This window comes from Homo sapiens, chromosome 1 (assembly GCF_000001405.40).
Source record: "Homo sapiens chromosome 1, GRCh38.p14 Primary Assembly".
Taxonomy (NCBI): Eukaryota; Metazoa; Chordata; class Mammalia; order Primates; family Hominidae; genus Homo; species Homo sapiens.
The window spans coordinates 191,411,421-191,437,328 of NC_000001.11; the positions used below are offsets into that span (position 1 = coordinate 191,411,421).

Sequence of the window (25,908 nt, forward strand, 5' to 3'; positions counted from 1 at the left end):
ACAATAGAGCCCACAGAATTTATTAGGAAAATAGGAAATGGCATGAGAAGCTCTTTGCCCATAAATTTAACAACTTTTAAAAGTCCTTTAAAAAACACAAATGCCAGGACCAATCTAAAAGAAATACATAATCTAAGATGTATTATATCTATTAAATAATTATTTTTATAATTAAAAACTTCCAAATGAGGAAAATGCCAAGTCCCAACAGTTTAATGGTGAATTCTACCCGACATTTAAGAAAGAAGTAGTTTCAAATGTACAGAATTTCTTCCAGAATATAGAAGTGAAGGGAATGCTTTCAAATTCATTTTAAGAGACTAGCATTAATATGACTCCAAAAACAAATTATTATAAAATTTGAAATCTGCATGTTACTATTTCTCAAGAACATTGACAAAAAACTCAAATTTAGTGCAAGAATATTTAAAAGTAGGTCATGGAAAATAAGTTTACCCTGGCAATAAAAACTGCTTCAGTAATCAAGAATTGATTAATAAAACTCACTGTATCTACAAACAAAAAAAAGAAAAAACGTATGATCATCACAATAGCTGCATAAAAATAATTTGAGAAAATTCAATATTTGTGATACAAAATCTAAGCAAACTGAAAAGAAAATAGGCTTTCTTAAGCCTTTTAAGGTAGACTAAAAATCCCTGCAGATAAAAATATACTTACTAGTTGAAGAAAGGTTTTCTTTTAAGAGCAGAAAGAAAGTGAATGTATCAGATGTCATTACTGTACTGAAGATCTTAGCCAGTGAAATTAGTCAAGAAAAAGACAGGAAATGCATAAAATTTGAACATAAATAATTTGTTTCTATACAAAGGTGACATAAATATCTACAAGGATTAACAACCAATCTATTTGTAAATATCTTCTAGATCAAATAAGTTTACCAACATTGCAGAATATGAGGTCAACACACACACACACACACACACACATATATCCTGTATATGTGTATATATATACATTCTGTATATGTGTATAAATATATAAAATACATAATACATATATTATAGATGTATGTATATTATACATACATATTACATACGTATGTGTATGTATCTATAAAGATGTGCTGTGACATAAAACAAAAAACCCAAAAGATACATAATATACACACACAAACACATACATATATGCACGTATAATGTATTATAACAATGAGCAATTGAAATTAAAATTTAAAGTACAAATTTTCAAAAGCAAGAGAAAGCATGAAAAATGTAGGTATAAAACTAACACAATATTTTTACTACCTGTATGTTGAAAACTACAAAACACTGATGAAAGTAATCAAAGAAGATCTAAATAAATGGGAAGTTATATAAATAAAATGGAAAATTGTTTAAGTCTTAGAATGCATAGTATTTTAAGATGTCAATTGTAAACAAATTAAAGAAAGTATTCAAATTTATGTATAGTTAAAATTCTACTAGAACTTTACTGAAATTAACAAATTGATTCTTAAATTTACATGGAAATGAAAACAAATAAGAATATCCAAAACAATTTTGATAAAGTACAAGATTAGACGTATCACACTACCTACTTTCAAGATTTTCTGTAAAGTTACAATAATCAAGACAGTGTAATATTACAGATATATACACAGTTAGATGACTAGAACAGAATAGTGTGGTTCAGAAATAGGCTCATTCTTTATGATTTATTAATTTTAAGTATATTTAATTAATAATAGATAACATTTTTAACAATAGTGTTGAAAGTTTTTGACATTGACAAGCAGTAAAATAAAGAATCTTGATCCGTACCTTGCATTATATAAAAAATTAACTCACAATAGGACATGAACTTAAATATGAAACCTAAAATTATAAAACTACTAGAAGAACACATAAGAAAATATATTTGTGGTCTTTAATATGACAAATATTCCTTAGATATGTCACCAGAAACATGTACCATAAAAGCAACAGCCAAGGTAAGAATCCCTGCTCTTGATGTACTGTTAAATGAGTAGAAAGGCCATATAAACTGAGAAATACTGTGCAATCACTCCTCCAATAAAGGGCTTGTATATATAAAGAACTCCCAAAACTCAATAAAAAACAAACAATCCAACAAAGAAAGGTAATAGAGTTGAACATATTAAAATATCCTCAACATCATTAGTCATTAAGGAAAACACAATGTAATCTGGCAATAAGATATCATTACATACTTAATAAAATGTTTAACGTTCAAAACAAACAAGCAAATCATCACAACAGTAACAATGAACTAAAAAGACCATATGTTTGCAATTAGGAAAGACAAATGAAACTCTCATACATTGATTGTGGGAATGCAAAATGGTAGAGCTATGTTGGAAAAAAAGATTTGGCAGTTTCTTACAATGTTAAATATACATTTACTAAAATATCCAGCAGTCTCACTTCTAGGTATCCAACTAAGTGAAATGAAAGCTTATGTTTATGCTGAAACATGCAAGTGAATATTTATAGAAACTTTACTTGTGATTGCCCAAAACTATATTCAAAATGCCTTTCTCTTGGGTGATGGATAACCAACTGAGGTACATCCACACAATGGAATTCTGCCTACCAATTTAAAAGTATGACACATTGAAAAGTGCTGGATCATATATGGATCCCAAATGAAAAATGCTAAATGAAGGGAGTCAGAATGAAAAGGCAGTGAGTCATGTGAATTCATTTTTTTGACATTCTAGAAAAGGTAAATATGTAGGAAGAAAACAGATCGATGGTGATGGGGCTGTGGAGGAGGTAGCTGACTAAAAAGTGGCATGAAGAAATTTTCTCTGGAAGCCTTCCATATTTTGATTGTGATTCTGTTCACTTGATTGTATACCTTTGTCAACACCCTCAGAAATGTAAACTGAAAACAGGTGTGTTTTGGTCAATGTAATTTATTTTTAAAAAAAACTGAAAAGAAGATAATAGTATTTTTTCTTGCTGTTATTAACCTAAATGTTAACATGGGAGTATAATTGTATATAAAAATATCTTAAAAGCTGGATTATTTGATTTAAACAACATTTGCATTAATTTAAAAATTACAAGAAAATCAATTCTGTATTATACAAAGCAATATTTTTAAAAGATGTTAATTTATATCATTGATTATAAAGATCAAATAAACTTAAGTTACATTTAAGCATTATTCTTTGCCCTAGGTTTCTATTCTAATCAAAATACAGTAGATTATCATGTTTGCAGATTATTTGAGAATTCACCTGCTTGCTATAATTTGTTAATTCAAAATAAATGCTCATGAGCTTTTGTGCTCATTTGCAGTCAGGGTGGTAAAGTATTTGAGTCACATGATGCACACTTTCCTAGCCGAGACAGACTAAGACCACACGCTACCTTACTTTTTTTTCAGCTGTTATATTGAAAAAAAGTCTTATTTGAAATCTATTCAACCTTTTAGGTTTTTTGTTTATTGTTTGTTTGTTTGTTTTGTTTAATTCTGTGAAAAAAAATATGACCCCCAAACATAGTGCTTGATATGATTTGGCTGTGTGTCCCCATACAAGTCTCACCTTATAAAGAAAAGTCTCACTCTTTCTTTTATAAAGAAAAGAGTCAATTATACCTCTTTTCTTTATAAATTACCCAGTCTAATACAGTGCTAAAACACTGCCTAGTGTTCCTAAGCACAAGAAAACTGCAATGTGCTTTAAGAAGAAAATAACATATGCTACAGAAGCTTCCTTTGGATATGAGTTATAGTGCCGTTGGCCATAAGTTCAACATTAATGAATCAACAATGCCATACATCAAGAAAAGGTGGAAAAAATTTGTTGATCTGTATATGAGGCTACTGAAGAAGCTGCTAACATAACATCCCTAGTATATGCTGAAGCTATAGAAAAGATGGAAAAGTGACTACATTTATGAATTCACAAATGGTGAAAATTTTTAAAAAACATACCAGACGGCATTCTTCTGAGGCTGAAAGCCAAAGAAATTTATGGTTATGTTACTCAGGAGCAAGAGAATATTAAGTCCTTCTTGGCTAGTGCTGGCTGGTTCACATGTTTCAAAATGTGATATGGCCTTTTTTTTTAGTGTCACTATTACTTATGCTGTATAACATCTTTTAGTACAAAAGCCAACAGAGCTGAACTCAGAATAAATCAAGAGTTTGAGTACATTTTGTAAACAGAGTAAATTGAAAAATAATATCTAAATGAGAAAACATTTCAATATGTGTTATAGCCTGAAGGGAAAAACAAGTGCCCTACCTTGATAAATTTATCAACTCTAAATAATTGAATGTATCAGTTGTCAGGAATACTTCATGTTTCTTAATTTTTTAAAATAGACTCAAATATTACTTTAACCAGTGGAGGAACCCATTTCTAAAATTTTTTATTATAAGCCTTAAAAGTAAACAACAATAACAACAATAAGACATCTAAAGAAAAAGGGCTCAGTATACTAAATCTTCATCATTTTATTGTAATCAATATATAATGATACTATAAATACTCCTAGAGTACTTGATCTATTCATACTTTGCCTAATATATAAAAGTAAGGCTAATAACTCCATGGTATTCAAACAGTGCAAATATTCTTATGAAACTATACTTGTACACAATTGTGATTTTAGGTTATTGTGAAGATTGTCAAGCATTTCTTCTTCATGATAATCTTTCCAATAGTCTTTTCTATCTATGAAATAAGATATATCCCAGGTGTTATTAAGTATACTTAAGTTATTTCAAAATAAATGCTCACAGCTTTTTGTGATCATTTGAGGACAGGGTGGCAAAATATTTGTGTCACATGATGCACCTGTTCTCAACTGAGATAGAATAAGATCACGTTCTACTTTTTTTCACCTCTTATACTGCAAAAAAAAAAAAAAAAGTCCTATTCATAATCTATTCAATACTATGCTTTCAAGCACCTTTGAGCTTTAAGTATATGTAATAAAACCTAGGCTATATCTTATTTCATTTATGTAACAATAGCATTGTATTGATTGTTGTTAGATAATTATCTATGAACCCCACTGCCTTTTTGTTTTTCTGCATTAGTTGCTTTTACCTCTTTTATGCTTTATTTTATATAATGCTGTAATTTATCCTACATGTATGTAGAATTATACATCTAAGAATTTTGATTATAATCTGCATTTAAAAGGGTCATGTAAAGCTTTTAATTAGTAAACTGATTTAACAAGAAGGATCAGAATATTGGAAAAAATAATGCTTTTACAGCCATTTGATTGAGTACCTACATGTTTCTGTAGGATTTCAAAAATCTATACTCAGTAGAATTCTATGTTGTAAACCACCTTTGCATTGGAATTGAGCTGTGAGAGGATATTTACTCTTAAAAATTGGTGCACAATAAGAAAATCAGGATATACACTGACGTATTAAGACTGAGCAAGGATAAAGACAGCATTACAGGAGAAGAGAGACGAATCATTTGCTTTTTATAAAGGATTAGTTTGGAAATCCCTCATCATTTGTATAATCTTCTTTATATATCTAAGTGACATAAAATATTACATATAGATTTTTATCTAAGAGAAAAAAATGTAACAGCTAAGTTGTCTCTGAGATTTTTGTTTAAAGTAATAAATTTGAAATCCCTTAAAAAATTTAAATAAAATGCTGCATTCTTCACTATAGTGGTAGTGTGAGAATTATCTTAGCAAACCATCTTCTTTCCAGGTAATCTGTTAATTTTTCACCCATTAAAATATAAAAGCTCTGCTGCATTTGTGTACTGTGTTAGACAATTTGCAAAGTTCAACCTTCTGATTTTTTTGTGGATTCTTTTATTTTTTATTTGACATCAGTTAATGCTCTAGCTGCATTTCTAAAGACCTGTCATTAATAAAATAATGTATTTTTGTTGTACTCCAAACTATTTAATAATTTCATGCATATCACAAACCTGAAGATTAGTTAAGAATCAATAATGTTTAACTTTTTTCTCAATGCATCTGTGTGAAATTTTCATTCTTTCCAAAACATTAACAACCTCAAGCTATTTTATTCATCAACAATTTATGTCTATAAACTCTACTTTACCGAATAAAAATGTTTATTTTATTTCAATTATTTAAATAATACAGATAAACAAGACATGGTCAAAAGGCTGGGCCACAGGACAGTCGCCTGTGCCTCACACTCAGTGGGAGGGGGAGTGACACATTAAGTATACTTCTCAAGTGTTTCACCATAAAAAATGATAGGTAAGTGAGGTACTGGATATGTTAATTGGCTTGATTTAATCCTGCCACATTGTATACATATATCAAAATATCACACTGTACCCCATAAATGTACACAACTATGATTTGTCAAGGAAAACACGGGCACAAATGCCCTAGATAGAGGTGACCCTTGCAGGTGTCTGTAGATCTATTCTGGGGAGTAACTCTCACCCAGTACTTCCATCTCAGATATTCAGCAGAAGTAAACATTTCAAAATTGTATTATATATTGGGGCTAGGCCTATTGATATTCTAACTGGCTCTCCTCTCATTAGTTTCAGAAGAAGGGCAGGGCAGCCTGAAGGTTATTAGGTGCTCATTAAGAAAAAGCTTTAATGTGATAAACCAGGAGCATAAAATAATAGTACTCCGATGTTGTGACACAATATTTAATGATCTTAGTCTACAAGCTGATGTTAAGCAAGAGTTTTTAAATTATCATGCTTCATCAGGGATCAGAAAGTAATTAAAAGGCAGTTAATGTGCTGCCATTTTTCATTTCTCAACAGATACACAGAAATTAAAAAGCAGAAATAAAATAATTTTTAGTCTTATTTAAGCTTCAACTACATAAATCAAGGACTAAATTTGCAATCCCTAGGCTTTCTCACTAGCGCTTAATATTCTGTTTCTAAAACATCCCACATATCACTGATTTCCTAAAAGGTCAAAATTTATTTGGTCCTGATTTTACTGCAAGACTTGGTTGTAAGAGTGCAGCAAAAGAATCACAATATCAACTAGTACTCTCTTAACATACCATGTGTAAAACCATAGAAAAGAAAATAACATCCCTGATCCTTTGCCTTCTACTTTTTTTTTTTTTTTTTTTTTTTTTTTTTTTTTTTTTTTTGAGACGGAGTCTCGCTCTGCCGCCCAGGCTGGAGTGCAGTGGCGCGATCTCGACTCACTGCAAGCTCGGCCTCCCGGGTTCACGCCATTCTCCTGCCTCAGCTCCCAAGTAGCTGGGACTACAGGCGCCCGCCACCACGCCCGGCTAATTTTTTGTATTTTTAGTAGAGACGGGGTTTCACCATGTTAGCCAGGAGGGCCTCTATCTCCTGACCTCGTGATCCACCCACCTCGGCCTCCCAAAGTGCTGGGATTACAGGCGTGAGCCACCACGCCCGGCCTGCCTTCTACTTTTGAAACTGAAGAAAAACAAGGTAGCATATAGACAAATATATATCTCAACATGGGCTAAAAGATTCAAGTTTAAAAAGAATGATCCTTTGCTGGGGGTGGGGTGGTGCGGATTATATAAATCACATCATATTTAGAAGACTTCATTGGTTGTTCTCTAGGTAATGGTCACAGTGGGCACCCTCATGAGCACCTTCCCTCATCATAGACCAAACCCACCACCTCAGCGTCCATTTATTCTTCAAAAGGATGACAATTAGCACAAAATTGGACCTCTGGTGTCCATTTATTCTGAATGCATGTGACTTTATTTCAGTTTCTGGTTTACTATTTGAACCCCAGCTTAGATACAGGCTCTGTTATTTGTGTATTTCCTAAATTAACTTTTTGAGATATTTATTATTATTACAACTATTAGAACATTCTCTATTCAAGGAGCATAACAGAAGACTACAGTTTAAAAATCCCCAAAGACATTTTGAATGCATACATAATCAGAGAGTAAAGTTTTCACCAGTTGAAGAATTTCTGAAAGAATACAGCTGTAAAATGCAATTACTTAGTGTTCTATAAATTAGTGATAAATAATTAAAGATAAAAATAAAATAATAGTCACCAATAACTATTTGTACATGTCACATGTGGCTTCGGCAAATTAACTGATGATTAGATCAACATTTTCTTCCTAAGGTAAAAATAATTTAAGGTGCTTGTAATACATACTAGTAGCAGTGTTAAAGACAAATCTTAATTTGATTTATAATTTGCTGAAAGCACCTTCTTTCTATAACTAATCTGATATCTTATATCTATACACTTTGTCTGAAATTCAATATATTTTTTAGCTTCTGAGATCGATAAACCAAAATTGGATCATCCAGGATGGAAAAATCAGTGTTCTATTAACAGACTGTAGAAACATTTCTTACATAAGTACTATTTAGTGAGTTACAAAGATTCTTTACTTTTAATGCTTTACATGGTTTACCTTTCCAATCACATACATGAGAATTGTTTTGATAAATTTTAAAAAATATTTTCTGAAATTAATTTCATCATGTTATTGCAAAAAAATCAATGGAAGAAACATGACCATGTTTAAATAGTGCAAACTCTCTGTTGCTGCTTCATGAAAGTGAATTACAAGTCTTACATTGTTTCTTTAGTAAAGATACTTAATATTCATCACATAAGAGGACAGATGTAAAGTGTAAGCCCCTGCTGAAATGCAAAGCATAAGTGTTTCATTTCCTGTCTCAGTAGAGCAGTGGGTTGAATAGTGCTTCTCAAAATTCATCTTCACCCAGAACCTCAGAATATGACTTTATTTGGAAACAGGGCCTTTACAGGTGCACTTTAGGTAAGGATTGAGATAAAGTCGTAATGGATTAGGGTGGGCCATAAATCTAATGAGTATCCCTTATATAAGAGACAGAAGAGTACACATAGAAACTGTATAGGGAGAGGAGGGCAATGTGAAGACAGAAGTAGAGATTGGGATTATGTTGCCACAAGCAGAGGCACACCTGGGGCCACAAGAAGAGAGAAGAGGCAAGTAGTGATGTTGCCCTAGAGTTTTCTGAGGTAGCATGACGCTGCTGACACCTTGAATTCAGACTTCTAGCTTCTAGTCTCTAGTAATGTAAGAGAATAAATTTCCTTTTTTGTTTATTTGTTTGTTTGGACAGAGTCGCTGGAGTGGAGTGGTGCGATCTCAGCTCACTTCAACCTCCACTTTCTGGGTTCAAGCAATTCTTGCCTCAACCTCCCGAATCTCAATCTCCATGCCCAGCTTTTTTTTTTTTATTTTTTTTTTATTTTTTATTTTTAGTAGGGACAGGGTTCTACCATATTGATCAGGCTGGTCTCAAACCCTCGGCCTCAAGTGATCCCCCCACTTCTGCCTCCCAAACATTTCTGTTGTTTTAAGCCACCAGATTAGTAAAAATTTGTTATGTGAGCTCTGTGAAACTAACACAAGTTGAAAATTACAATGGTGTCTCCACTCTCTCTAAACTTAGGGTGGTTGTTAGCTTGGGAGAAGTTTCAGAAGACCAGTTTTGAAACAAAAATATTGATTCTAATATAAAGCCATTAAGATGAGATTAATTTAGACTATGACCAAAAATCTGAGCCATAAATCACACATTTATAAATATATAAAAAGTTATATAAAGACTATGTAAGATATAAAGGATATGATAAATGCAAACGTCCCTTAGCCTATGAGAAATGAGAATAGAGTTTATGAAGACAACAGTGAATTTACCAGATTGTTTTCATAAAGTTAGAGAATGTCGGCCGGGCACGGTGGCTCTGCCTGTAATCCCAGCACTTTGGGAGGCAGAGGCGGGCGGATCATGAGGTCAGGAGATCGAGACCATCCTGGCTAACACGGTGAAACCCCACCTCTACTAAAAATACAAAAAATTAGCCGGGCGTGGTGGCGGTCGCCTGTAGTCCCAGCTACTTGGGAGGCTGAGGCAGGAGAATGGCTTGAACGGGGAGGCAGTGCTTGCAGTGAGCCAAGATCACGCCACTGCACTCCAGCCTGGGCAACAGAGCGAGACTCCGTCTCAAAAAAAAAAAAAAAAAAAATTAGAGACTGTCTTGATTAGAAGGAACCTTTAAGGTTACCTAGTTTTTACCTAGTTTCTATTTCAGTATCTCATCATATAGTTGAATCTCCTCTTTAAAATTACTTCTAAAGTTCCTTCAGCTTCTTCTTGAACTTTAGTGGCAGAAAAAAATCACTCCATTTTTAGACAAGCTTGTCAGTATCTTCTTCATGATAATAAGCCCAAACCCCTGTTCTGCATAGGAGACCTTCAAATACTTATGTCTTATTCAGGCAAAAATGCACACTTCTTCCTAAAATTTCTTATATGATATGATTCATTTTCTAGTCTTCTTGTCATCCAGATCAAAATCCTATGGAAACAATATGACTCATTTATGGATTTCTTAAAATAAAAATTTCAAAATTAAAAAAGATTCTAGTGATTCTAATCAAGAGAGTAGAATCATATTGGCTTCACTATCTATATCTTTATATTATTTCAGTTTAGGTTCCATTAGCATTGTTGACAGTCAAGTTACTCCTTTAGTGCAAAAATCACCATTAGTGCTTATTGTTTTATATTTCTGCTTCTAAGTTATTTTTTCATTAAGTATTATTTTCTGTACTTAAGGACAAAATTTTACATTTTTCTTATTTTTTATCTTGTTAAATTATAAGGGCTCTCCATCTCTATTCTAACTTTTTAGCTTACCAATTTTGTAATGCAACATGTCTGTTGCTCTCCCTCCCAATTTCATTCATGAAAAGGTAGAAGTATATCTTTTATTTTAACATATGGTTATATTTATAATATTATTAACTTTTACTAAAATTTTAATTAAGCTGGAAGCTGAATTAACGTAAAAATATTAATACGGGTGAAAATTCAAACCATCTTTTACTGCAAAGCAGTCCTGAAAAAAAAAATTGAAAACTAGTGCTCCTCTACAACCTCTAAATACTAGTTGAGTTAACTCCCAGAGTCTGGATTTCATCTTTTTTTCCTCCTTTTGGCTTATTAGTCCCTAATGCCTAGTAATTTCAAAATAAATTGCTAAGTTAATAAATGAATTTGACTTATCTTAATGGGTCTCTTCTGATTTTTGTTTGTAGGCCTAACACCTTCTTTCCCTTGTGATTTTAATTCCATTTATCCTGAGAATAGCGGAAGGTCAATTCCTCATTCAAATAATTAGTATACAGCATTATTTCTGGATGTACAGAGAGTGACTCATCCACATAATTTGTATGGGACTTCATCAACAATAATTTTGGCCATATAATATGAAAAAGAAAAATTGAACAGATCACTGCATATTAATTAAATAATAAAGTTATTAAGTAACCTCTCTCAAAAATGTAAAATTTACCTCTATTGATTAAGATTCACCTAATGATGTTTGCCAAGCTATACAGGATGAAGTATTTCTTAGGAAGGCTACCCAGTTGGTCAGAGGATAGACATTTTCTTAAAATATTCACTATAGAATAATATCTTATTAGAACTGTAAGGAGGAAAACAGTTATTTTTTGCTGTTGTTGTTTAGGTCTCCAGTTGGTTGAAACCAAGAAGACTCTCCCACAGTTATCTAGTGTAAAGAAATTGATATATAAACTAGATTGCACTATTTGTTAAACCTATAAAAAATAAACTGGATTAACAGGTCTTTTCCTCAACATTTTCTCTCCCACTGTCTATTTGTGGGTTTAAATTATAGGCACTGAGATATAAATGAGCCTTAAATAAGGGTGAGAGGTCAGCTGAATAATTTATATAGCTAGAAAATATAGTTATAAAAATATAAATTATTTACTAGCATAAAATTATTTTGGCCTTCTAAATTTGGCAAAGGTGATCTAGACAATTTGGACCAAAATTTCTGATAAGGAAATAGAAAAAATTGTCCAACATAATAAGATAATTCTATAATAAAGACATAAAATTAAGAACTTAATGAAGGTTTAATGACATGTAAGACACAGACTGAGATACAAATGAGGAACTGGTACATAGGTTAGGAAAAAAAATCAAGAGTGGTCAAAGAGGAACAAGAATTCAGACAAAGTAGAAAGAGGTAAGATTAATGGCGGACATTTAATTGGAGTCAAAGAAATAGGACTCAGACAATAGGACACAGGACACATTTTAATACCTAATAAGTAAGACAGATTCAGAACTTATGAAAATTCTTTAACTATACTTTTTCAAAAGGCACTATGAATCTTAAACGGGACAAATAAAGAGTAAAACGTACCAGGTAACGTCATAGTAACAACTATTTAAAAAAATTGTATGCCTGTATCAAAATATCACGTGTACCTCATAAATTTACTATTATATACCCAAAATGTTTAAAAATAAAACAATTTTTAAAAGGTAAAATCTTGAAATTACATAGTGATTAAGACAGACGATGTTCAAAGTAGAAACATTCAATAGATAACTGACTCCTAAGAGAAAAAATGAAAGTAATAAGAAAATGGAATGGAATTTTCAATAACAGAAATAAACAGAAATTTTAAAGCTATCAATACAATAATAAGGAAATATTATACAAAACTCTATGTCAGTCAATTCAACAACATAGATAAAATTGTCAGATCCTGTAAAACACAAAAATTACCAAAAATGTTATAAAAATAAAATAAAGATCTGATTAGTTTTATCTCTATTGAAGAAACTATAAAAATTTAAAATCTTTCCACAGACACAACACCGGCCTTATACAAATCCACTGACTTATTCTGTTACATTTATGGGAAAAAAATAACACTAACTCTCCACAGAATTGCTCAGGAAATACAGAAGGTGGGGCCTTTCTCAACTCATTTTATGAGGACAGTAAGTCCCTAATACCAGTATCAGTGTCTTTTTTCCCCTCCCACCTTCAAGCACTATCTTAAAAGAAAAGTAAATCTATAAGCCAATATCCCTCATAAACATTGATGTCCAAAAGTATTATTAATAGCAATAGGATAGTTGTCAGAGCCCATCAATTATAAAGTGAATGATGTGTCATAAGATAAGGAGTTTATGGAATGCAGTTTTCTTTTTATTTAAAATCAATTAATCAATGTTAATTTACCATATTAATAGGAAAAGGAGAAATATCAAGTGATAATTTCAGGAGATTCATTTTAAAACTTTTACACCTATTTATGATAAATTGAACCTTTCAGCAAATTACTCTAAGAAAGGAACTTTCTCAGCTGATAAAATCACCTATAAAAAAAACTAAAGATCACATCATGAAATAGTGAAAGGGCAATTTCCCTACCCCATCACACTCCCAAGATTTGGCCCAAGACAGGAATGGGCATTTTTCACTGCTTCTGTATTGCATTATAATGGAGGTCTTACCCATTTAAAAAATTTAAAAATACTTAAATAAATGAAATATACCAATTTAAAAAAAAGTTAAAGCTATTATTATTTGACCCCACCTGATTTGTTCATAGACAATTTTAAGGAATCCACAAAAAAGCTATTTGAAATAAGTATTTAGCAGGTTGTAAAACACATAACCAGTTGCATTTCAAAGTTGTCAAAATAAACTTGGAAATAAAAATAATTCCATTTACAGTTGCATGAAAATATATAAAATGTTCACAGGTTTAACAACATCTGTGCCAGATCTCTACACTGAAAACATCACAGCATCACAGAAAGAAGGTTGAACACCTTAATATTTGCCTAGATATATCATGTTCATGCACTGAAATGACTTAATTTTATAAGTTGTTGATTTTCCTTGAATTAATTGACACATTTAGCAAAGTATAACTCATATTTCCATCAGGTTGTCTGCAGAGTTCAATAAGCTGATTCTAAAATGTATACTGGAATGCACATTATCAGAATAATCAAAACAATAATTAAAAAGTTATAGGATTTACACTACCCAATTTTAAGACTTACAATAATACAAATTAAAACAGTGTGATATCAGGGTATGTGTGTGTGTTTTTAAAGATGTCAGAAGAGGCCGGGCGCGGTGGCTCACGCCTGTAATCCCAGCACTTTGGCCAAGAGGCCGAGGTGGGTGGATCACGAGGTCAGGAGATCGAGACCATCCTGGCTAACACGGTGAAACCCCGTCTGTATTAAAAATACAAAAAAATCAGCCGCGCGTGGTGGCAGGCGCCTGTGGTCCCAGCTACTCGGGAGGCTGAGGCAGGAGAATGGCGTGAACCCGGGAGGCGGAGCTTGCAGTGAGCCGAGATCGTGCCACTGCACTCCGGCCTGGGCGGCAGAGCGAGACTCCGTCTCAAAAAAAAAAAAAAAAAAGATGCCACAAAATTCAGTGAGAAATGATAACCTTTTCAACAAATTCTTCTGAAACATAGATACTTACATGGGAAAAAAATGGTATCTCTCCCCACTAATTGCCCTAGAAACTTGGAGGCTTACTCAATTAAGAAAGGTGAGTCCTGCTTCTAAGAGCCCACAGGCAAAACACAGGCTTCCCATGTATCTGCTGGTATCAACTTTAATACTGTCCCTATCGACCGTTGTCATGAGTGTCCGGTTGGTCTTCTAGTAATGTTTTACAGTCTTAAAGGGTGAGGAAACATGTCTTATTCACAATGTAACACTCATCTGTGGTGGTTAAAAATCCCCATGATCTTATGCTTTATTAAATATTTTTAACCACAAGTATTAACGAAGCATTCTACCTAGACCAGAGTACTATTTTGAGAGAAATTTTCCCAAATTTCTCAGTCTTATCCAAGGACAGGCATGCTCTGTGTTTACAGTTCCAAATTATTGCACTTGCATTACAATAATATCCTCTGACATTTTCACCCAGAACATTACTACATATGTAAACTAATGAACCTGTGGATTTTGGTGTAGGAAACATCTCAACAAATTACAAGTTCTAATAGTCCGGGACCCCAAAATTTGAGAGGCTGGAGTTGGATTATCCGTGTTTTCCGGAAAATTTCATGTAAAATTAATTTTTATTGACCAGGTCCAACTAGTAATAAGCATTTATTGATTTCCTACTATATGCCAGACCCGTTTTAAGCATGTTTTATAGATTATCTTCTTCAATTCTCAAAGAAACTCCATGCCATGGTTCTTCTTATTATTTTTGTTTTACCAAATCACATAAAAAGTTTAAATAATTTGCCCAAGGTCACACAGCACACATTCAACAATACAGTAAACTTCTCTTCTACCAAGAGGAAGGGAATGAATTCATCCTTAAACACAAATAGAGATTTTTACACTTTTCTTCCCAAGAGAGTGTTTACTTGCTATAGATTATTCAATTTCCCTTGTGCCCATACCCTTTTAACTGCTTTGTTAAGCTTCCCCTTTTAAGAAACAGAAAATATCTCCATCAGCCTCAAGTCCATTTGTCTTTGTGATATGTTCTGGCTAATATGACATTAGCAGATGTGTTGCAAGCAGAGATTTGACAATGTAGGTGTACTATTTGATGTGCTCTCTTGCACTCCTGCCACTGCCGTGAAAAGGATGTGTTCACACTGGCCAGTTGGTTTCAGAAGAGGATGAAACACAAATAGAGCCAAGATACCCTATGAAGTTTTCCTGGTCAAACCCAACCTACAGCAGAGCCCCTAACCTTGCTTGAGTGAGCCCAGCAGAAAACAACCTGGCCTAGAGAAGTCACTCCAGCCCATCCAACTAACCACAGATCCATGAGCTATCATACGTGATGATTTATTCAGTTTACTCAGTCACAGGGCAAAAAGTAACTGAAAAACTTGATTTGTGTGTAAATCGGAAGGGCCATTTCATATATTTAGAAAATAAGTTCATATTCCTGAGTTTACCTACATTCTGATAGCAAACTATTGGCAACTTTCAATTGGTGTTTTTTTCATTAAGATGCTATCTAATGGAGACATCTAATTTATATAAACATGTTAAGAATAATAAATATTTTGTACTCTTTTTATATGTGCCAACGAGTTTACATGTGTTTCTATCATCAACCTCTCACAATGCTCACAACTAGGTTTTAAAGTTTAAGGTAAGCTCCATTATCCCCAATTTTCAAAAGCAAGAAAATTCAGGTGTTGAAGGATTGAGTTTCTTGCATACGGTAAATAACCAGTAAGTAACAAAGTTAGGATTTAAAACTAGGACAGTTAGACTCAACAATTATACCCCTGTACAGAAAGATGAGATTTTTATTCACAGGGTGTGGATTTGGAATTCTAGTTCATGGACTCAAATAACTGAAAACCATATTTTATCCCAGAGAGCCACATTTTCCCTGTCTGTAATATGGACATTATCACAGGCACCTCACGAGTTAGGTGAGTATTTTCCATTTCTTGAGCTGGCTCTGAAAATTTGCTTTACAAATAGCATCTTTGTGTTTGCCCAACGCATCCTCTCCAGGGAGGCAATATGTCATGATGTCCTGATTAGGAGTATGATATATAACTCTCAGATGGATTTCAAGCTTTGTAAAGCGGGAGAGAGGAAAGATGTTTATCATCACCCTCACCTAGAATTCCTATCTCTGACACATCAACAGATAATTTATACTGGCAGATTGTGTACACTTGACCCCTTAGATTGGGGATATTTACACTGGCATCAGAGATCACAGGTAAGGCTCCCAACCCCCCTCTTATATCCCCATTTTGCAACTGCCCTGCATCACTATCATTTTTTGTACCAAAATCTCCTCTCTCTTGCTCTCTTTTGTGTGTATTTTGTTGTTGCTGTTGTTTGGAGTGTGTGTGTGTGTGTGTGTGTGTGTGTGTGTGTGTGTGTGTGTTTAAAAAACCAAGCCCTGCTTGAGAGCCAGGAGGCTGAAAGTCAAGGGCTTAGGTGAATTTCCATGTCTTCAGAAAGAAAAAGGAAACAACAACAACAAAACACACACACACACACACACAAAACTCTAATGGCACCTCCTGCTACTTTCCTCTGAGAACTGATCTTTTAGTGAAAGTTTACCATTAGGTTGGGGAGAGGAGAGGTACTGAAAAGGGAAATCTATGTGGAAAGAACTAGGAGGGCTCAGAAAGAGATAAAGAAATAACGGTGAGGAAGTAGCAATGGCAGGGCCATGAGGAAATAAGATGTGGAGGAAAATGGTGTGGTGGAAGGAAACTGCTAGAGTGTGTACTGTGGGTGGAGGTGACAGGACAGGGAGGTGGTTATGCCATCATTCATTTCTCAGAAGCAGAAAGGGGTCCTACTGTTTTTGAAAGCACCCAATTATATTTTCCTATTTAGATGGTTAACATGCACATTCTTATTTTCTACATGTCCCTCAGGCATTAGTTAGCTACTTTAATTTAGCTGATGTTAATTTCTAAGTTATTCTTTCTTTTCTAGAGAATAACCAAAAGTAAAATAAGTTTATTGTTGATTGTGGAGAGTGTTGTCTCAGAGGTAGAGCCTCAGTCTCGAGATATTTGCTTAGACCCTACCTCCTCACACAGTCTAACTTTGTGCTACTTTATTTTCTTTTAGATACTTAATTGATAATTTTCTTCATTAGAATACTGTATAAGTTCCTTGAGACCAAGAGCTTTGCTGGGGTTAATGCTGTTCTGATTCAGAGAAGACATTCAGTAACTATTGACAAATTAACTGACTTACAAGACACCATGAGGAGTAAATACCCACACAAAGACACATGTTTTTCTTCTCTCTGTTCTCTTCCTAGCCCTCCAGTTTATCCATGTATAATATGAGAAAAAAACACAAGGTGCAATTGGGTGGAAATCTTATTTTCCCTTTGGAGTTTGAGGAAACATTTTGTTCAGGATATATGGGAGAGGTATCAGTAAAACTAATTTTGACAGAGATGTAAACTGTATTTGTATGATTATTAGATTGCACTGAGACACACAAGATCACTGTTTGTCCTCTACCAAAGTGAGGCTCTTCAATCATTGCAATAATGGAATTGCTTGAAAATTGACAGAACAATCCCTATGTGGATCTCAGAACACTTCCAATAGAGAATCAAACAGTAAAATAGTATTATGCAAGTTTCTTGGACTGTGTCTCTTCTCCCTGACATCTCATCAATACCAAAGTTAATGTTGCTTTAGTTAATAATATCAGTTCCTTGTTATTTATTTGTCTTTTTATGTTGGCTTGAATAGCCTGAGGTTGAAACTGTGTATTATAATGAACACTCTGGATTTCAGCTGCCTTTCTGACTAAAGGCCTGTAACACTTCTCCATAATCAGCTTCTTTGAACGAAAGCAACAATATTGGTTAATTAAAAAATAGAAATATATTAATGGATTGGTGTCATTAAATAAAGGTTCACTTTTAGCTAACAAAACAAATTATTTTATTAAAACTCAAGCCATTATTGCAACATCCATGAAACCAAACAGAACATAGAATGTTAGAAATCTAGATTAAGAAAGAGGAACAAAAAAAAATAATTTTTGATAAAGTGTTCCTTGAGTTCAGTTTGCTCTGAAATTGTATTTAACATAACTCTTGCACCAACAGGAAGGGCACATGATGTCAAGGTCTATGTTCTGACTAGTAACTCACACCTATTTTGTGAATTAGAATATATAAACACAATATTATGGATTACAAAGTTAGCATCCTAATATTATTAATTGTATAAAGTCTTTACTTAAAAGATGTTCACATTACCGTCACTATTGTATGACAAATTCTATGTTCTCAGAGTATCTAGCTATTCACCAAGCCCATTTTGTCTTCGTCATGGAGAGTTGGACTTCATTTTCCAGCCTCCTTTGTAGTTAGTTTTGGCCAAATGACTGAATCCTCCCTAATGGGAAATGAGCAGAAGTAATGTGTACTGAAACTACTTATGCTTTTCCTACCTCTGACTCACTAACAACCATTTAAATTTAAAATCACATGTTAAAAGATGGGGAGTGTTCTCAGATCACATCCAATGTGTTCTGAGATCCACATAAAGATTGGTCTTGGTGGCTCATACCTGTAATCCCAACAGTTTTGGAGTCTGAGGTGGGATGTTTGCTTGAGCCCAGGAGTTCAAGGTTACGGTGAGCTATGATTGTGCCATAGCACTCCAGCATAGGTAACAGAGCAAGACCCCATCTCTAACAATAACAACAACAAAAAGATAAAGGCCCCACAGATGAAAAACCCAGTGTCTGTGAATTATTACATTGCCTGACAACTAGAAATGCCTATACTTTTACTTTAGGCGAGTCAGAATTGGACTTCTATTGTCCTGAGTCATTATATGATATGTATTTTATTTTCCATGAATGTTAAGTTTAACATTATTTCTTAATTAGATTAAACTATATGTGATACTATTTCTATAATAATTTATTAGACAAATATGAAAAATAAGATGGCTAAATATACTGAATGAATGGAAATAAATTTGTTTAAATTGCTGATTTTAATAATTGACATGAATATTCATTCACTTTCCACATGTAAGAGCTGTGAACCACATTGATTTCTATTTTCACAATATCACCATTGTGATAGAAAATAAGAGAAGTACCTGGGAAGTCATAGATAAACATATCAAAATAACTACCATTATATGAAGGGCCATTATATAAGGGACTCCATTTAAAGTATTTCAGGATTGTTAACTTTGCATATGTTAGCCACATATGCAACTCTTATTCTGTAAGTGAAAACAAAGATTACAGTAAATGTCCTCCTGCTTCCTAAAGAAAGATATAAAAAAAAGAGTTGTGGTTCAGAGAAGAGAGCTGTGTAACATAATGTATCAGCTTTACATTTCCTCCAAAGACTAATAGTAAGATTCTATTTAAAAGCCTTAAACAAGTCCCCTTGCAATGACTCATCAAAGGGGGCAAAGATTGGTGAAAATTCGGATGATAACTTAAAAAATAAAAACACAGTCTTACTGAGAATGGGAAGATACCATCTTATAGCAAGAATTAATTATAAAGCATTTCAGTTTGCATAAATTTTGCATGTTACTATTTATATCTCACTCTGTCACTCAGCCTGGAGTGCAGTGGCATGAACACGGCTCACTGCAGACTTGACCTCATGGGCTCAAGTCATTCTCCCACCTCAGCCTTCTCAGTAGATGGAACCACAGGTGTGCGCTGCCATGGTTGGCTGATTTTTAAACCATTTTGTAGAGATGAGTTCTTGCCATATTGCCCAGGCTGGTCTCGAACTCCTGGACTAAAGCTGTCCTCCTGCCTCGGCCTCCCAAAGTGCTGGGATTACATGTGTGAGCCTCTGCACACAGCAGAAATATCATTCTGGCTAGACTAATCCATTGACTCCATAATTAGCTCACTGCATGTATTTAGCAAATGCTTATGGATGTAAATGTATATATTATTTTATAATTCTAACAGATATGAAGGAAGAAAAATACTTGATATACAGCAACTAGAACCTACATAAGTTATGAATTCTAGTATTTGGCATTCAATTTAGGCAAAATTAATAAATGTTATATCTTTTTAAAGAGAAAAGCATATTGATTTAAAAGCTGATATAAGCTCACAGGAAAACAAATCCATAAAACCTTTGAATTACCAGAAAAATACAAAGAAAAGATGAAACCTGTAACCCTATATTCTACAATAATTTCTATAAACATTTGGTGGAATTCCTAAGAATATAACCATCATATATAGTATTTTCCTCTATGTATTAACTTCACTTATAAAATAATTTTCTATTGATATGCAAATATAGGTTTTTTATTTTGGTAAAATTGCCCAGTATTACATCCTCAGGACTTTTCCTTTTTAGTTTGTTGATGCTGTACTTCAGAGGTCAGCACACTAAGGTCCTTGGGCCAAGCCCAGCCTCTGCCTACTTTTGTAAATAAAGTTTTTTTGGAACAAAGTCATTGTTACTCATTTATATATTGTCCATGGTTGCTTTCTTTACGCAAGGAGAAAATTCCAGTAGTTGTGACAAGTGAATATTTTTGCAATAGAACTAAAATTATTTGCTATTTAGCCCTTAACAGAAGAAAATTTCCTACCACTCAAGGGGAAAATAATGGACAGGAGACAGGACTAACATGCAGTTCCCACTCGGATGGACAGAACAGCATGTGGAGACTCACATCATGAACTTTTACTCCAAGAACCACCACAGGAACATACCAAGAAAACCAAAATAATTCACAGACCCTTCAAAAGTAGTGGCTTGCTGCTGCAAAGTCTGTGAGACAGATGAAAAACGGAGTTCCCAAAGTGCGAGAGGGGGAAAAGTATGCCTCTGAACACATATCCCTATTGGGGAACCTGAAAATTCAGATCATGGGAGAAGAATTTAATTTTACCTAGAGCTGAAATGGATTTAGGGAGCCAAGCAAAATATAAAATCAGAAGAAGCAGTGGGAAGAGCCCTGTAGGAACTCCCAGTCCCCAGCTTGAACCAAGGGAAGCCATCCCTGGCTTTACCTCAAAAGGGTCCTAGGGGAAGGTACTCAGCAGAACTGGGGAGAAGCCACAGGGTAAAGGAAACTTCTAGCTGAACTTGTAATATTTTGATTGAGCGTGAATTTTCCTGAGCAGAATCCAGGGGAGCAAATGACAAGTGCAGATATAAGCACAGGAGCTGCAGCCAGCAGGAGAGGTCTGAGAGCCTGCTTGCTTTCTCAAGAGGAGAGACTTGTAGCCTGCAGCAAGATCTCAGCCTTTTGTGCAGGCTGCCTGCATATAAACTCAGGGCTGTTGGCGGAACACAGCAGGAGTGAGACTGGCTTTGCTGGTTGCATGGGAGCTGGATGAGGTTTGTCACTGCTTGCTTTCCCCCACTTCCGTGGTGACCTGTATGACACATCAGAGGCAGCCATAACCCCCCTTGGAACATAGCTCCATTGACCTAAGAACCAAACCCATCCCCCACAGTGGGCATAGCAAGCCCTGCCCAAGGACAGTCTGAGCTCAGACCTGCCTAAACCTGCCCCCACCTGATGGTTTTTCTCTAATGGCCCTGGTAGCCACAGACAAAAACATAAACTCTTGGGAGCTCTATGGCCCTGCCTATTGCCTGAGAAACCGTAATACTTATCCTGGGCAACATAAGGCAAGCTTATATCCACCTTCTACTATTGCAGCTGGTGATCTCTTGAAAGTGCCACCTCCGGACTGGAGGCCAACCAACTCAGAAACTCATAAAAAAAAAAAAAAAAAAAAAACACCTTTATTCAAAGAATGAGAAAACAACAGCTAATTCCACTGCCTGCAACATCTTGGCTAACCAGAGGTCCTGAGTCTGTCCATGTGACAACTTCACTGCTAGTATAAGAAGCATTCAAGAAAACCAATGCACTCAACAATACTACTATAATCAAGGACTCCCACAAGGTCCACTTAACTCCCCTGACATCTGCACTGGAGCAGGTGTTGGTATCCACATCTGGGAGACTTGAAGACAGATCACATCACAGGACTAGTTGCAGACATTCCCCAGCACCAGCCCAGAGCCCAGTAGCCATGCTGGGTGGCAAGACCCAGAAGGGCAATAACAATCACTCTAGTCTAGCTTTCAGGAAGCCCCATCCATAGGGAAGGGGGAAGAGAACCACATCAAGGGATCACCCCGTGGGACAAAAGAATCTGAACAGCAGCCCTTGAGTTCCAGATTTTTCCACTGAACCAGTCTACCCAATTGAGAAGAAACCACATGAGTAATTCTGGTTGTATGCCAAAACAAGGTTCTATAAAACCACCAAAAGATCACACTAGCTCTCCAGCAATGGATCCAAACCAGGAAGAAATCTCTGGATTTCCAAATGAAGAGTTCAGAAGGTTAATTATTAAGCTAATCAAGGTGATACCAGAGAAAGGTGAAATGAACTTAAGGAAATTAAAAAATACAGGATATGGATCCAAAAGTCTCCAGAGAAATAGTTATCATAAAGAGAAGACAATCATAACTACTGGAAATGAAAGACACACTTAAAGAAATACAAAATACATGGAACGTTTCAACAATAGACTAGAACAAGTAGAAGAAAACCATAAGAGCTAGAAACAGGCTTTCTAATTAACCCAATCTGACAAATACAAAGAAAAAAAGATTAAAAAGAAATGAACAAAACCACCAAGAAATTTGGGATTATGTAAAATGAACAAATGTAAGAAGAATTGGTGTTCCTAGAAAAATTAGAAATCTAAAAGTTTGGAAAACGTGTTTGAGGAAATAGTCAAGGAAATTGTTCCTGGATTGCTAGAGATCTAACATCCAAATTAAAGAAGCTCAAAGAATACCTGTGAAATTAATTCCAAAAAGAATCATCACCTAGACACATAGTCATCAGGTTATCTAAAGTCAAGACAAAGAAAATAATCTTAAGAGCTGTGAGGTGCGAGCATCGGGTAACCTATAAAGAAAAACCTGTAACATTAATAGCAGATTTTTCAGCAGACACCCTATAAGCAAGAAGGAATTGCAGTCCTATATTTAGCCTCCTTAAACAAAGTAATTATGAGCCAATAATTTTGTATCCAGCAATGCTAAGCTTCATAAATGAAGGATAGATAAAATCTTTTTCAGACAAACAAATGTTGAGAGAATTTGCCACTACCAAGTCAGCACTACAAAAACTACTAAAAGGAATTCTAAATCTTGAAACAAAACTTGGAATACACCAAAATAGAACCTCTTTAAAGCATAAGTCTCACAGGGCCTATAATACTATAACACAATTAAAAATAAAAACAGGGTATTCAGGCAACAGCTAGCATGATAAATGGAACAGTACCTGACATCTTAGTACTAGCATTAAATGTAAATGGCGTAAATGCTCCACTTAAAAAATACAGAGTAGCAGAGTGGATAAACATCCACCAACCAAATATCTGCTGTCTTCAAGAAACTCAACTAACACAGAAGGACTCAAATAAACTTAATGTAAAGGGATAGAAAAAGATTTTCTATGCAAATTGAAAAAAGTGAGCAAAAGTAACTATTCTTATATCAGACAAAACAGACTTTAATGCAACAATAGTTAAAAGAGACAAAGAGAGACATTATATAATGATAACAACATTTTCCCAAAAGGAAAGTATTACAATCCTAAATACATATGCACCTAACACTGGGGATCCCAAATTTATGAAACAATTACTACTGGACCTGAGAAATGAGATAGATGGCAACACAGTAATAGTGGGGGACTTCAATACTCCATTGACAGCACTACACAGGTCATCAAGACAGAAAGTCAACGAAGAAACAAAGGATCTACATGGCCTGGTGCGGTGGTTCATGCCAGTAATCCCAGCACTTTGGGAGGCCAAGGTGGGTGGATCACAAGTTCAGGAGATCGAGACCATCCTGGCTAACTCGGTAAAACCCTGTCTCTACTAAAAATACAAAAACAAAATTAGCTGGGTGTGGTTGAGGGCACCTGTATTTCCAGCTACTCAGGAGGCTGAGGTGGGAGAATGGCATGAACTTGGGAGATGGAGCTTGCAGTGAGCCGAGATTGTGCCACTGCACTCCAGCCTGGGCAACAGAGTGAGACTCCATCTCAAAAAAAAAAAAAAAAAAAAAAAAAAGAAAAAGAAAAAGAAAAAGAAAAAAGAAACAATGGATCTACACTATACACTAGAACAAATGGCCTTAACAGACATTTACAGAACATTCTACCCAAAAACTGCAGAATATACATTGTTTTTATCAGCACTTGGAACATTCTCCAAGAGAGACCATATGATAGGCCACAAAAAAAGTCTCAATACATTTTAAAACATTGAAATTATACCAAGTACTCTCTCAGACCACAGTGGAATAAAATTAGAAATTAACTCCAAAAGGAACACACAAAACTAGAAAAATAGATGGAAATTAAGTAATCTGCTCCTGATTGATCTTTGGGTCAACAATGAAATAAAAATGGAAATTTAAAAATTATTTGAACTAAATGATAATAGTGACACAACCTAAGAAAAACTCTGGGATACAGCAAAAGCAGTGCTAAGAGGAAAGTTCATAGCATTAAATGTCTACATCAAAAAGTCTGAAAGCGAACAAATAGAAAATCTAAGCTCACACCTCAAGGAACCAGAGAAGCAAGAGGAAACCAAACAGATACCCAGCAGAAGAAAATTAACATATCTCAGAGCAGAATTAATGAAATTGAAGCAAAAACTACAAAAGATAAGTGGTCCCAAAAGCCGGTTCTTTGAAACGATAAACAAAATAGATAAATAGTGAGATTAATCAAGAAAAGAAGAGAGAAGATCCAAATAAACTCAATTAAAAACAAAATGGGAGATATTATCATCAATACCACATAAATACAAAGGATAATTTAAGGCTATTATAAACACCTTATTTACACAAACTGGAAAACCTAGAAGAGATGGATAAATTCCTGAAAATACACAACCCTCCAAGATTAAACCAGAAGAAACAGAAACTCTGAACAGACCAATAACAAGTAGCAAGATTAAAACAGTAATAATAATAATAAAAAAAAAAAACTTGTCAACAAAAAAAGTCCAGGACCAGAGGGATTCACAGCTGAATTCTATCAGACATGCAATGGTGATACCATTGCATGTTTCAGTAGGTACCAATCCTACTGAAACTCTTCCAAAAGATAGAGTAAGAGGTAATCTCTCGTAAATCATTCTATGAATCCAGTATCACCCTAATACAAAACCCAGGAAAGGACATTAAAAAAAAAACAACTACAGACTAATAGCAGTGATGAACATAGATGCAAGAATCCTCAACAAAAAACTAGCTAAATAAATTCAACAGCATATCAAAAAGATTATCCACCATGATCAAGTAGGTTTCATATCAGGGATGCAGGGATTATTTAACATATGAAGTCAAAAAATGTGATACACCACATGAACAGAATTAATAACAAAATTATATGATCATCTCAATAGTGTACAAAAAGCATTGATAAAATCCAGCATCTCTTTATGATTAAAACCCTTAGCAAAATCGGCATAGAAGGGACATACTTTAAGGCAATAAAAGCCATCTATGAGAAACCCACACTCAATAT

General features: G+C 34.4%; 2 annotated features.

The window, feature by feature from the left end:
* Nucleotides 21,165–21,666: an enhancer, noted in NCBI's record as "H3K27ac hESC enhancer chr1:191401715-191402216 (GRCh37/hg19 assembly coordinates)". NCBI's record gives its function as "activates a minimal SCP1, AML or CMV promoter by ChIP-STARR-seq in naive H9 embryonic stem cells {active_cell/tissue: H9 hESC(naive)}" and the evidence as "EXISTENCE:reporter gene assay evidence [ECO:0000049][PMID:30033119]".
* Nucleotides 21,667–22,166: an enhancer, noted in NCBI's record as "H3K27ac hESC enhancer chr1:191402217-191402716 (GRCh37/hg19 assembly coordinates)". NCBI's record gives its function as "activates a minimal SCP1, AML or CMV promoter by ChIP-STARR-seq in naive H9 embryonic stem cells {active_cell/tissue: H9 hESC(naive)}" and the evidence as "EXISTENCE:reporter gene assay evidence [ECO:0000049][PMID:30033119]".